General features: G+C 47.0%; 1 protein-coding gene across 37 annotated transcripts in view, besides 1 other annotated feature; it reads left to right on the forward strand.

The window, feature by feature from the left end:
• Nucleotides 1–14,283, forward strand: part of DEPDC5 (DEP domain containing 5, GATOR1 subcomplex subunit) — a 154,066-nt gene that overhangs the window by 117,600 nt on the left and 22,183 nt on the right. For 27 of the 37 annotated variants that reach the window (NR_157125.2, XR_007067997.1, NM_001364318.2 and 24 more), the window contains 4 exons: nt 1,688–1,765; nt 2,706–2,838; nt 4,590–4,698; nt 7,958–8,185. Coding sequence is in view for 31 of the 37 variants with exons in the window: in NM_001364318.2 (NP_001351247.1) it covers nt 1,688–1,765; nt 2,706–2,838; nt 4,590–4,698; nt 7,958–8,185 (548 nt within the window). In the remaining 6 variants the exon portion in view is untranslated. Of the gene's footprint in view, nt 1–1,604; nt 1,766–2,705; nt 2,839–4,519; nt 4,699–7,957; nt 8,186–14,283 lie in introns of those variants that run through there. The other 10 variants (NR_157128.1, NR_110988.2, XM_011530565.3 and 7 more) reach the window with 6 other exon arrangements.
• Nucleotides 776–1,070: a silencer, noted in NCBI's record as "tiled region #5531; HepG2 Repressive non-DNase unmatched - State 13:Ctcf". NCBI's record gives its function as "represses a minimal TATA promoter and a strong SV40 promoter by Sharpr-MPRA in HepG2 cells {active_cell/tissue: HepG2}" and the evidence as "EXISTENCE:reporter gene assay evidence [ECO:0000049][PMID:27701403]".

The following is a 14,283-nucleotide window of genomic DNA, read 5'->3' on the forward strand; positions in this document are numbered from 1 at the left end:
CTCATGCCCTTATACCCATCAAGCCTACCTGGCTTTTTGGCTGTAGGCGTGGAGGAGATTGGAGAGGCTGCCCAATGCATAGAAAAAATCTGCTTCCTCATTGCTTACAAGGGTAGAACAGTAGGTTTACTTCTGCTTTCAGAAGAAATGAGGAATCGGGGATATTTAGGCTGGAGGTGAAAAGACCAAAAATGACATGGCAGGTAGAATCAGGACCAATGACTGAAAAATACAGAGAACAGATTCTATTTCATGATGAAGAACTTACTAGCAGTGGGTCCTGCTGCACGGAAATGGGCTGCACTTAGAGGTGCCAAGTTCTTTGCCATTGAAGATGTTCACACAGATAGGACAGCCTCTTGCCCAGACACGTGGTCTCAGCAGAGACTCAGGCATTAGAAGGAAGTTCATTTCAAGGGTCTTTGAAAACTTTTTCTAACCCTGAAATTCTGAAACACTTCCAGTGATTTCTGGACCCTCTGAATAGTCATGAAGAGTAGTCTGGGACTGAGGAAAGGGAGAAGTTCAAAGAACTTGAGGAGCTTCTGGATAAGCCCCACAGCTGGCCCAGTTCGGTATAGTGGGTGGCCACTCAGCTGCTGAGTATTAAGCACGTTTTAAGGGACCATCACACCTTTGAGCAAGAATGTGGGCAGCAGGTGGTGGAAAGGACTTTGGAGAGAGACTGACCTGGATTCAGATCCACATCCTGGTACTTCTGGCTCTTTGACCTTCAGCAGTTCCTTTAGTCAGTTTCAAAGGGTCGGTGTTAATTATTTTAGTATTGTTTACCACTTTGGGCTTCCTGTGTGTCAGCCCTGTACATGTGCTCAGCATCGTATAAACATTCGCCTCACATCAGCCCTCAAAGACAGGAACAGCATTAACCCCATTTTTCACATGGGGGCGCTGAGGCCAAGAAAAGCTATGTAGCAGGTTAGTGATGATACTGGGATTCCATTCCCCATGCTCTTAGGGTGTTACCTAGTACTCTGGTCAGGATTCAATGAAGCTACCTGTGAAAGGCTCTTGGGGCAAACCCAGAGCAGTCCAGGGGGTTTCTTGGAAGTGGTTGGGCCTTGGGCCTGAGGAATATTATTAAAAGGAGAGATGCTTACTAAGGGCAAGTTTGGACACAAAAGTACTTTGAATTCTAAATGTGGACATTTTTTATTTTATTTTATTTTATTTTATTTATTTATTTGAGACAGTCTCGCTCTGTTGCCTAGGCTGGAGTGCATGAGTGGCACGACCTCAGCTCACTGCACCCTCCACCTCCCAGTTTCAAGCGATTCTCTTGTCTCAGCCTCCCAAGTAGCTGAGACAACAGGCGCACGTCACCATGCCTGGCTAATTTTTGTATTTTTAGTAGAGACGGGATTTCACTATGTTTGCCAGGCTGGTCTTGACCTCCTGACCTCAAATAATCCACGTGCCTCAGCTTCCCAAAGTGCTGGGATTACAGACGTAAGCCACCAAACCCGGCCCTAAATGTGTATATTTTAAAATAGGAAACCCCCTATGAGATAACCCCCTGATATAGCTGTTTGGAATTTACTAAAATGCCTTTAGTGTCAACATTGTCCTGGTTTCTGGCTCCATAGGAAGTGGAGACTGTTCCTAATATTCGTGCTCTTGACTGCATACGTGCCATCTTGCTTTGCTGACCTGACACCCTGTGTTACAGCTCTCAGCAGCTGGTGGCAAGCTCCTTGACCTCATCCTCTACCCTGACAGAGATCCTGGAAGCCATGAAGCACCCCTCGTAAGTGGCTCACCACAGTGTAGGGTTGGAAGGTTCCCAGAAGCCTGTGCCACAGCCATGTTTAGGCAGCGTGGTTTGGTAGATTTGTACATGACTGTACTTCTCACCAGTTTTGAGAGCTTGGGCAAGTCACTTGACCTCTCTGAGCCTCTGTTTCCTTGTTTGTAAGATGGAATTGTTTTTTGTTTTTTTTTTTTGAGGCAGAGTCTCACTCTGTCACCCAGGCTAGAGTGCGGTGTCGCCATCTTGGCTCACCCAACCTCTGCCTCAAGATGGGATTTTTTTAAAAGGGATTTTTTAAAAAGTAGTTAAGCCACAGGGTTGATGTAAAGATTAAATGAAATAATTATGTGAGGTACCTAGTATGATGCCTGACAAGTATAGGTATTCTCCGAATGTGAGTTCCCATCTTTTCCTTTCTCTCCCCCTTCTCCTTTTTCCCCATAACAACTTCTTCTTTTTTTTTTTTTTTTTTTTTGAGACAGAGTCTCACTCTGTTGCCCAGGCTGGAGGACAGTGGCACGATCTCAGCTCACTGCAACCTCCACCTCCCAGGTTCAAGTGATTCTCCCACCTCAGCTTCCTGACTAGCTGGGATTACAGGCACCCGCCACCACGCCCAGCTGATTTTTGTATTTTTAGTAGAGACGGGGTTTCGCCATGTTGGTCAGGCTGGTCTCAAACTCCTGACCTCAGGTAATCCACCCGCCTCAGCCTCCCAAAGTGCTGGGATTACAGGCGTGAGCGACCACGCTGGGCCCCCGGTAACAGTTTCTTTTGTCCTCTCATGGGTGTTTCTCTGAGTCTAGGAATAGCATAGGGACATTGCTTTATGGTATTAAATGCTCTAGTGGGAGTCCCTTCTTTTTCATCTTTCCTTCCACTTGTTGCCATGGGGCACACACATCCCCTGCTCCCCGTTCACCGTGTTGGAACCCAGGACAGGAGTCCAGCTGCTCTCTGAACAGAAGGGCCTCTCACCGTACTGCTTCATCAGCGCGGAGGTGGTACACTGGTTGGTGAACCACGTGGAGGGGATCCAGACACAGGCGATGGCCATTGACATCATGCAGGTGAGACAGCAAGAGGGGCCCATAGAGCTGTTTGCTTAGGTCCCGAAAAATCAGGGCCTGCCTTAGAAGCCATCACCCTTTCCAGTAATGAGATCTGCAGGTTGGGGTGAGGATTTTTTTTAATAAGTGGGAGGCCTTTCTGGAATTGATGAAAGAACAAGTCTTGCTTTGAAATACACTGTATCTTGACTTAAAAACCGTGCAGAATTTATTGTCTGAACTGAAATGTTTTGGACAGAATCTGTGCATTTATAAACCTCAGAAAAATCTCTATGATTTTTGGGGGAATGCCCTCCCTCTGACCTCAAGCCGCCAGTTTCCCCTGGTCAATGCATGCTTATTCAAGACTCAATGCTGGATTCAAGGCTCTGACCCAGGGGCCTTCTGTCACCTTGTACTTACTCTGTCAGAGCTCTTAGCACAACAGAATGAAGATCTTTCTCTCATTTGTCTCCTGCCTCAACCAGCTCCTTGAGAGCAGGATCACCTCTTATTTTCCATTTCTGTATCACCAGTGCCAGGCATGTTGCTTGGCACCTGGTAGGCACTTAGCACCATGCTTGCTGGATTTAATTACGCTGCTCAGAACTGGAACTCTGGAATATGGCAGAACTGGAATAACAAGGAAATGGGAAACGGCCAGTTGACTGAGCCAGTTCATGCCATCCTGTCTATACGGAGGCCCCAACTGGAAGTCAGTACTGTTTCCTTACCAGCTGAGTTGTCATCATGGAAATGTTAAAATTGATAACTGATTTGAAAAAGCATGTGATTCTCAGTTCTCACTCTGAGGGTCTTGATGTGCTGTTTTGCACAGCCTTTGCCGTATACACTCTCGTCTCCCTGAGAATACGATTTCCTTATTCAAATAATGAAATGCTACTACAGCAGTTTAAATGAATGAGCTGAAGGTACATGTATCAACATGGATAAATGTCAGAAGCATGATGTGGACTGGAAAACCAACTTATAAAATGATATAATATTATGCCCTTTATTTAAAAACTTAGAATCCCGAAAGAATACCTTATATTCTCTATCATACGTGTTTATATAATAAAATTATTTAAGAATAATATTACACTAACCATTTATTTCTGGGGAGAGAGAAAGAGTAATGGGAGTGGGAGAGTCTAAGGAGATTTTTTTTTAATAAGAATATCTGAAATCAGTATAGAGAAGTGTCAAATTTGTGAAAGTAGAATAGTGGCATATGTGGATTTTTTTTTTTTTTTTTTTTTTTTTGAGACAGAGTCTCACTTCGTCGCCTAGGCTGGAGTGCAGTAGTGCTAATCTCAGCTCATTGCAACCTCCACCTCCTAGGTTCAAGTGATTCTCCTGCCTCAGCCTCCCGAGTAGCTGGGATTACAGGCATGCACCACCATACCAGCTAATTTTTGTATTTTTGGTAGAGATGGGATTTCACCATGTTGGCCAGACTGGTCTTGAACTCCTGGCCTCAAGTGATCCACCCCCCTCAGCCTCCCAAAGTGCTGGGGTTACAGGCGTGAGCCACTGCTCCCGGCCATCTGAATTTCTTCATGCCCTTCTGCATGTTTGAAATATTTGATGATGATACGAGTTTACATTTTAAAATATAATTTATATCAAGTACAACATGTCTAATCTGGGGGTGGAGGGTAGGGTCTCCTCAGTGCTCCTGTCACTCCCTTGTCTCCAGAGCATGACTGAGGGCTGCCCCTTCAAGATGCCTCTCTGCAGGAATTTCAGAGTTTCAATGTCTCTCCTAGAAAATGCTGGAAGAGCAGCTCATCACACATGCATCTGGCGAAGCCTGGCGGACCTTCATCTACGGCTTCTATTTCTACAAGATAGTAACGGACAAAGAGCCCGACCGAGGTTAGAGCCGAGGCGAATGCGGTTGCCCACAGGGGCAAGTGTTTTTCCTGGTGACTTGCTCTTTCACATGATGGTGCTTCCTGAGCTGCATGTGTGACTTTGTATTATAAGTTGACAGATCTGTCAACTTCCTTGAGCCTTTGTACTTAATTTAAGCATAGCCAGAGTGACAAGGGTTTCTTAAGCTACAGTGTGTTCTTGGTGAGAACAGTGTGGGTGAAAGATAAAGCTAAAAGAGGCCAAGGGACCTGGTGTGAGGAAATTCCCACACATCAGTTTTTGGTAGCTGTTTTTAATTAGAGTGCCCCACCCCCTTGCCCACCCAGCCCAGGTGGTTCTGATTATATTATCATGGGCTCCAGTCTGTGATTTATAGCACTTTTCACTTGCTAGATCTCCAGTTCAGGCTCCATTTCTAACCCCAGGAAACTATCAAGTCCTAGCAAGTTTTCCAAGTAATATTTTAAGTATCTGTGGGGTTTTTTTTCTTTTGTTTGGTTTTTTTAAATAATGAGGAAAAAGTAATTCCCCAGAGGGAAAACTTTTTTAGCGTGGTCAGAGCTGACTCACATAACTGGAGGCACCCCAGATTCAGACCAGCATCTTGCCGGGCATGCTGGCTCATACCTGTAATCCCAGCACTTTGGGAGGCCGAGGCTGGCAGATCACTTGACGTCAAGAGCTCAAGACCAACATTGGGAAACCCTGTCTCTACTAAAAATACAAAATTAGCCGGGTGTGGTGGTGCATGCATGTAATCCCAGCTACTTGGGAGGCTGAGGCAGGAGAATCGCTTGAATCCGGGAGGCGGAGGTTGTAGTGAGCCGAGATTGTGCTGCTGTACTGCAGCCTGGTTGACAGTGAAACTCCGTCTCAAAAACAACAGCCGGCTGGGCACTGCGGCTCACGCCTATAATCCTAGCACTTTGGGAGGCCGAAGCAGGTGGATTGCCTGAGCTCAGGAGTTCGAGACCAGCCTGGGCAACACGATGAAACCCCACCTCTACTAAAATACAAAAAAATTAGCCGGGTGTGGCGGCAGGCACCTGTAATCCCAGCTACTCGGGAGGCTGAGACAGGAGAATCGCTTGAACCCAGGAGGCAGAGGTTGCAGTAAGCCAAGATCACACCACTGTACTCTAGCCTGGGCTACAGAGTGAGACTCCATCTCAAAAAAAAAAAAAAAAAAAAAAAAAAAAAAACAGGCCGGGCACAGTGGCTCACGCTTGTAATCCCAACACTTTGGGAGGCCAAGGCCGGCAGATCACAAGGTCAGGAGTTGGAGACTAGCCTGGCCAACACAGTGAAACCCCATCTCTACCAAAAATACAAAAAATAGCTGGGCATGGTGGTGGCCGCCTGTAATCCCAGCTACTCGGGAGGCTGAGGCAGGAGAATTGCTTGAACCCGGGAGATGGAGGTTGCAGTAAGATGAGATCACGCCACTGCACTTCCAGTCTGGCGACAGAGCGAGACTCCATCTCAAAAAAAAAAAAAAAAAAAAAAAAACAGCAAAAACAGAAAACCAGACCAGCATCTCCAGTACACCTATAGCAAAAGGGGACCTTGCCTGTTCTGGAAGTGACTCCTATCCTGCAGACAAATGGCTTCTCTGCCTCTGGGTTTAAAGAATCAAACATGGCCGGGAGCGGTGGCTCACGCCTGTAATCTCAGCACTTTGGGAGGCCGAGGTGGGTGGATCATGAGGTCAAGAGATCGAGACCATCCTGGTCAACATGGTGAAACCCCATCTCTACTAAAAAATACAAAAATTAGCTGGGCGTGGTGGCGCACGCCTGTAGACCCAGCTACTTGGGAGGCTGAGGCAGGAGAATCACTTGAACCTGGGATGTGGAGGTTGCAGTGAGCCAAGATCATGCCACTGCACTCCAGCTTCGTGACAGAGCGAGACTCCATCTCAAAAAAAAAAAAAAGAATCTTACATGAGATGAAGCAGCTAGTGCCACTCCCCATGCTCTCTTGTCCAAGAATATGGCAGAAGTGGACGTGTGTGGGATTTTTTTGTATATCCATTGACACTTTTCCCTTTAAATTATACATTTGACCAGTAGATACCTATCTTACCTTCAAGTTGAAAACATACCAGGTTACTGTTATATATTCTGAAATTTGAGGTATGAAACTGATCATAAGGTCAAGTGTGGTGCTGACTCGTGCCTATAATCCCAGCGCCTTGGAAGGCTGAGGTATGAGGATCTCTTGAGGCCAGGAGTTTAAGATCAGCCTGGGCAAGAAACATAGCGAAACCCCATCTCTACAGGAAAAAAAAAAAAAAAATTGGCTGGGTGTGGTTGTACATGCTGGTCTTCACAGCTACTCAAGAAGCTGAAATGGGAGGATTGCTTGAGCCCAGGAGGTTGAGGCTATAGTGAGCCATGGTTGTACCACTGCACTGAAGACTTGGCAAAGCTGTGCAGACCCTGTCTCTAAGAGAAAAAAAGAAATAAACTGAGCATAAAATATTTTTTAGGGCCGGGTACGGTGACACACGCCTGTAATCCCAGCACTTTGGGAGGCCAAGGCAGGTGGATCACCTGAAGTCAGGAGTTTGAGACCAGCCTGGCCAACATGGTGAAATCCCGTCTACTAAAAATACAAAAATTAGCCGGGCGTGGTGGCGCATGTTGCTACTCAAGAGGCTGAGGTAGGAGAATCACTTGAACCTGGGAGGCAGAGGTTGCAGTAAGCTGAGATCGTGCCATCGCACCACTCCAGCCTGGGCGACAGAGCGAGACTCCGTCTCAAAAAAAAAAAAAAATATATATATATATATATATATATACACACACACACACGTATATATATATACACATATATATACATATATATACACATATATATATACATATATATTTTTAATTGAAGTGAAATTCACATGATATAAAATTAACCATTTAAAAATGAACAGCTCAGTGCATTTAGTACATCCACAGTGTTGTACAACTATCATGTCCATCTAGTTCCTGACCATTTTCATCACCCTGAAATGAAACCCCATCCCCTTGAGGAGTCACCTTCCAACTCCTCCTCCCACCCCCAGCAACCAATAATCTGCTTTCTTTCTCAAAGATTTGCCTATTTGCTACGTTTCACATAAATGGAACTATACAGTATGTGGCCTTGTGTGTCGGCTTCTTTTACTTAGCGTGTTTTTAAGGTTTATCAAGTTGTAGCATGCATCATGAAGAAAATAAGCATTTGTGTTGAGTACTCCTTCTCTCCCCTCCACTTTTCCCAGTGGCCATGCAGCAGCCCGCCACCACCTGGCACACAGCAGGAGTGGACGACTTCGCCAGCTTCCAGCGCAAGTGGTTTGAGGTGGCCTTTGTGGCAGAAGAGCTCGTGCACTCTGAGATTCCTGCCTTTCTCCTGCCCTGGCTGCCTAGCCGGCCAGCCTCCTATGCAAGTAGGCACAGCTCCTTTAGCCGAAGTTTTGGAGGACGGAGCCAGGCGGCAGCACTTTTAGGTACATGCTCAACCCAGACAAGGTCTGAGGGTGTGCCAGTGGGTGGCTGCGGGAAAGTAGTGGCCAGCCAAGGGAACGATGCCACATGAACCAGGATTAGAGTCGCTGAGGCCGTCACACAGGCCACTGTGTCTGTCGGCACTGTTGGCTCCGTTGCTGACTTCCACTTGCCGAGTGGTTTTATGACTGTCCCAACCAACAGACGGTATTTAGCACCTCTCAAATCAGAACATAGTGCCAGACCTGTTCGGATAGGAGAGAAGAAATATGTGGCCAATTTTCCCGAGGGTTCTGTAGGATATAGGAGATGTGAGATAGTGCTCATTGCACCAGCTAGTTCCTGCCGGAGCCCCTCCCTACAACCATAGCATCCTATGATCTCAGAAGAGGAAGGAACCTAAAAGGTCATCCATTCCAGACACTCATGCAGAGCAAAAGTCTCTCTCTCTCTCTCCTCTTCCTTTCCTCCCCAAATGTGCTTACCATATTGAAGGATGTAAACTGAAACACTTCCCTCCTTTCCACCATTCCTGCAGCTCTAAGATGGGGGTAAACAGCTGCTTATTGAAAGGCAATGACCTCTGATAGGAAATGGGGAACTCTGAGCTAGAGGACCTGACTGATGGGTTGAAATGTGAACATCTTTAGAAAATACCTGCTCTGGGCAAAGACCATGGGATTTATCTTAAGGGCAAGTTGGAGGATCCTGAAAGCCCTCTGAAAGGAAGAAAGCAAATAGAACATAAACCAAACTCCAGGGAAATTCCATGTTCTGCTTTGTTTGCCTGTAATCGCCCAGCTAATTGGAATCCTTTACTAGCTGGTAAAACGGAGATGTTAATCGTCATCAAAGTTTCTAGATCCAGGCCGGGCACGGTGGCCCACGCCTGTAATCCCAGCACTTTGGGAGGCTGAGGTGGGTGGATCACTTGAGGTCAGGAGTTCAAGACCAGCCTGACCAACATAGTGAAACCCTCTCTATATTAAAAATACAAAATTAGATGGCTCATGCCTGTAATCCCAGCACTTTGGGAGGCCGAGGCAGGCAGATCACAAGGTCGGGAGATCGAGACCATCCTGGCTAACACTGTGAAACCCCATCTCTACTAAAAATACAAAAAATTAGCCAGGCGTGACAGTGTGCACCAGGTACTCGGGAGGCTGAGGCAGGAGAATGGCATGAACCTGGGCGGCGGAGCCTGCAGTGAGCCGAGATCGCGCCACTGTACTCCAGCCTGGGTGACAGAATAAGACTCCGTCTCAAAAAAAAAAAAAAGGGCCAAACGCTGTGGCTCATGCCTGTAGCCCAGCACTTTGGGAGGCTGAGGTGGGTGGATCACCTGAGGTCAAGAGTTTGATACCAGCCTGGGCAACATGATGAAATTCTGTCTCTACCAAAATCAGTCAGGTGTGGTGGCAGACGCCTGTAATCCCAGCTACTCCGGAGGCCGAGGCAGGAGAATTGCTTGAACCTGGGAGGTGGAGGTTGCAGTGAGCTGAGATCGCCCCATTGTACTCTAGAGCGAGACTCCATCTCTCAAAAAAAAAAAAAAAAAGTTTTCAGATCCTCAGATTCACTTGGATCTGGGTGTGGCTCACTCCAGCATTGCCTGTTGCTGTGTGTGAGAAGTGAAGGGGTGGGGAGGATAGGGTAGAACCTTGAGCAGCTCCTCCTCCTTTCCCTTAGGCAGTCATGACTTGCTCTTCTCCCTTCATTGCATTTCTAACTGTCTACTTCCTTGACGTTTTTTTGGGATTAAAGAAGCCGTATACCCGTTACCCTGGGGTGCTCACTTCCAGCAACCTAAACCACCTAGAGCACTACCAGGGCTTGAGACCTAAGGCCTTTGAATAGCAAGCAGCAACCTTGTGATTTTATGTCATGGGAGGACCTATTAGAAATAGCAAATAAGGCCAGGCATGTGGCTCATGCATGTAATCCCAGCACTTTGGGAGGCTGAGGCAGGAGGATCACTTGAGGTCAGGAGTTTGAGACCAGCCTGGCCAACATGATGAAACCCCATCTCTACTAAAAATACAAAAATTACCTGGGTGTGGTGGCGGGTACCTGCAATCCCAGCTACTCAGGAGGCTGAGGCAGGAGAATCGCTTGAATCTGAGAGGCAGAGGTTGCGGTGAGCCTAGATGGCACCACTGCACTCCAGCCTGGGCGACTCCATCTCAAAAGTGATGGAGTGAGACTCCATCTGAAAAAAAAAAAAAAAAGAATAGCAAAGAAAAGGGCAGGTACCTACCCTGATGTCAGTGGGAAGCAGAAGCCAATAGTCCAGCAACAAAGGTGGAGTGGGGAAAACCTGTTACAAATATAACAAACACAAGAACTTGATAAGTACAGTGTTAATCATTCACTTATAGCACTAGGCTGCATACGAGAAGCTTCTCAAGAAGCAACTTTACACCATTTTTCTCATGAAATCAAGTTTATTTTTAGTAGCCAAGTTTTAAAGTCTACTTTTTCCTCATAGATAAAAATTAAGAATTTTCATCTCTGCGGAACAAGGAACTAAGCCTGAAAGCTAGCTAGGTGCTTTCAGATACGCACCAAAGAGAGAGCTGAAAAGTCAACTTCCCACTCCCCTCGGGGTTACTTTCTGAGAAAAAGACACAATGCATTACAATAAGTAAATATTGGATCATGCATGGCGACAATTTATGTGAGAGCTGAAGAAAGCAAAAAGATTTCTTCCTTTCAAATAAATTTCAAATATTCAAATAAATGCCACGAATCCAAGTGACACCTCCTTGTAGTAAGAGGCGCTCGAACCAGCACATAGAGCATATTTACTCCACTGATTTCTTGGAAGTGTGTTTACAGATCTCTTGGTAAGACCCCAGATTAGAAGCAGAAAATTGGAGGCAGCTAATGGCAGCAAGTGTATAACACATTTTAGCAAAATGTTTTGCAAAATAAATCTGTTAAATTTTGATCTTTTAAGGTGGGAAGTAACTATCATTTGTTCATTCTTTCTCTTTTTTTTTATTTTCTTGTTCCTTCTCTTCTTTCTCCTCTTCTCTTCTCTTCTTTTTAAAAATAGAGACAGGGTCTCCCTATGTTGCCCAGGCTGTTCTCAAACTCCTGGGTGCAAGGAATCTTCCTGCCTCAGCCTCCCAAAGTGCTAGGATTACAGGTGGGAGCCATTACGCCCGGCCTGTTCTTCCTTTTCTTGAAAGTGTTCAACGAAAGGAATTATTCTAATGTGAATCTTCTCCAGTAGATCATACAAAACCCAAGAGCAGGGTTTCTCAACTTCAGCACTACTGACATTTTGGGCCAGATCATTCTTTCTTGTGGGGAAGTGTTCTGTGCACTGGAGGATGTTGAGCAGCATCCTGCCCTCTACCCAGTAGCACTACCAGCCCCACCCAGTGTGATAAAATGTCTCCTGACATTGCCAAATGTCCCCTGGGGTTGGTAAAATTACCCCCAGCTGAGAACCGCTGTCCTAGGGGGAACTGAAGGATTCCAATCAGGAGCCAAGATTAGAGCAAAACCTGAGAGGCTTTGAAGCCCATCAGTAACTTCCCTAAGCAGGTGTCAAGTTGATGCGTGATAAGGGCGTGCTTTCAGAACTTTGGGGTAGGATGAATGGTCAGAGCTGGAGCTGAGATGTTAGAGGGAAGCACTGTCCTCCACTCTGCTCTGCTCTGCTCTGGCCCCTGGGCTCCTCTTGTGCTTTCTTTCACTGGTGCCAGTGGTGGTTGCTTCAGTCTTGCCTGCTGTGGTGCGATGGTAATAACATTAATGCCATGATTTGTAGAAAATTGATGTGTCAGGTCCTGTACAGAGCAGAAAATCTTCATTAATCTTTACGTCAGTCTCCTGATGGGTACTACAATTTATGCTTTAGAGTTTAGGAAACTGTGAGGCTCAGAGAGGCGAAGTAATTTGCCCAAGGCTCTGCAGCCACTAAGTGCTAGAGCTGGAGTTTATTCTCAGGACTGCCTGGCCCTGAAGCCTGAACTCCAAGCACACTGCATTTCGGCCCAAGGAGACAAAAGTCAAAGCCTGTCAGGATTTTGGATGATTTGCACAATAGCCCAGTTCCAGGAGTGGCTTCTGCCCTGTGATGAGGGACACTCAGGTCCCAGGCCCTTGCTACAGAACCACAACTCTCTGGGTGTGTCCTTTCTTCCCCTCTATGCCATCCCTGCTGGTCTTCCCAATGCACTCCCTCCAGTCCTGGCTTCAACAGTTCTTTGACCCCCACCAGGACCTGTAACCAATTGATCTTGCTATCATTCTCCCTCTCCCACCTCACATCTCACTTTATGTAATCATAGCTTTGAGCTGCCAAACCTCATTACACAGCTTTGAGCCCCGCTCCCCACCCTCATCATCAGCATCTTGTGTCACTGTGAAAACTGAAGCGGTCAGAAGAAAACTCCCACCTGCCATCTGCCCTCGCCCAGTAGCTGTGTCTGTCCCCACTCTTCTGCCTCCCCCTGATGCAGCATCTCCACCTGCACACAAGACCCCAGCCCTCGCAGTACTCAGTGTAGCACTTTGGCAGTCATCCCCCTCCCTGAATTCTCCCTCTCTGCTAAAGCATCCCTGTCGATCTGTGACAGGCACACACTCTCTCCTGCTGGCAAAGCAAAACTCAAATCGGGTTTCTGTCTATTCCCTCCGCTGGAACAGCCTTCCCAATGCAGGGAGCCCATGTTGTTTAGCCTGGCGGCCAGTCCTCAGTCCTGGTCCTCCTTGCCCTGCAACAGCATTTGTCAAATGATCTCTGACTCCTCCTTTAAACCCTTACCTTGCTTGGCTCTCCTTCTTCATTTTAAAATCAGTTTCCTTTGCTGGTTTCTCTTCAGCAACCTAATCTTTTAATATTATAGCATTCGGGTCTCAGCCTGCCCTCATCTCCATACCCTAAAGTGTCTCATCAGTCCAGTGGCCTTTATTACCCCAAGATCTGGTCACTGCCAAATTTCTATCTCCATCCTAGACCATGTCTCCAATTTGAGACTCATCCCTCCAGCTACCTACTTGACATGGTCACTTAGAGGACTGGATGTACAGTGTTCAGAACCAGCTAGCCCTGCTGTTTCCCCGCAACACCTTCGTCTTGCCTTCTCATTCTAGTCACTTAGGTAGAAAAATTCAGTTGCCTTCTCATGTCTTTCTTTCCTGCTCTACATCCAGCCCATCAGCAAATTCAGTTTACCTTTTAGTTACCTTCAATATTGATTCAGGATTAACTATTCCTTACTCTGTCTCCTCTATGATCGTGGTTCGAGCCACCTTCATCTTCTGTCTGCATTGCTGCTGTCACCTCTGCACTGGCCTCCTGGCTTCCTCCCCTGCTCCTTATAAACTGCTTTGCACACAGGATCCAGAGAGACCTCTTCAAATGGAAGTCAGGTCATGTTCCCCTTCTGGGCAGGATCCTCTTGTAGCTCCCAGCTCACTCGAAACCAAAGCTAGAGTTTTCAGCAGCCTACAGGACCCCAGGATGTGGTCCCCTCATTCTCTGCCTTGTCCCCTGTCCGCCTCCTATGTACTCTGCTGCACCACGCTGGCTTCCATCTGTGTCTGGTGTCCGTGAACACGCCGTGCACATCTCTGCTTCCAGTGCTTTCCTTCCGCCTGGGGCACTGTTCCCCAAAGATACCCTCGGGTCTCCCTCCCTCACTTGCTTCAAGTCTCTTGTCCAAAAATCATGTGTGGGCTGGGCGCGGTGGCTCACGCCTGTAATCCCAGCACTTTGGGAGGCCGAGGCGGGTGGATCACAAGGTCAGGAGATTGAGGCCATCCTGGCTAACACAGTGAAACCCCATCTCTACTAAAAATACAAAAAATTAGCCAGGCATGGTGGCGGGCACCTGTAGTCCCAGCTACTCGGGAGGTTGAAGCAGGAGAATGGCGTGAACCTGGGAGGCAGAGCTTGCAGTGAGCCGAGATCATGCCGCTGCACTCCAGCCTGGGCAACAGAGCGAGACTCCATCTCAAAAAAAAAAAAAAAAAAGAGACAGGGTTGGCCAGGCACAGTGGCTCACGCCTGTAATCCCAACACTTTGGGAGGCCAAGGCGGGTGGATCACGAGGTCAGGAATTTGAGACCAGCCTGACCAACA

Source organism: Homo sapiens, chromosome 22, assembly GCF_000001405.40.
Source record: "Homo sapiens chromosome 22, GRCh38.p14 Primary Assembly".
NCBI lineage: Eukaryota > Metazoa > Chordata > Mammalia > Primates > Hominidae > Homo > Homo sapiens.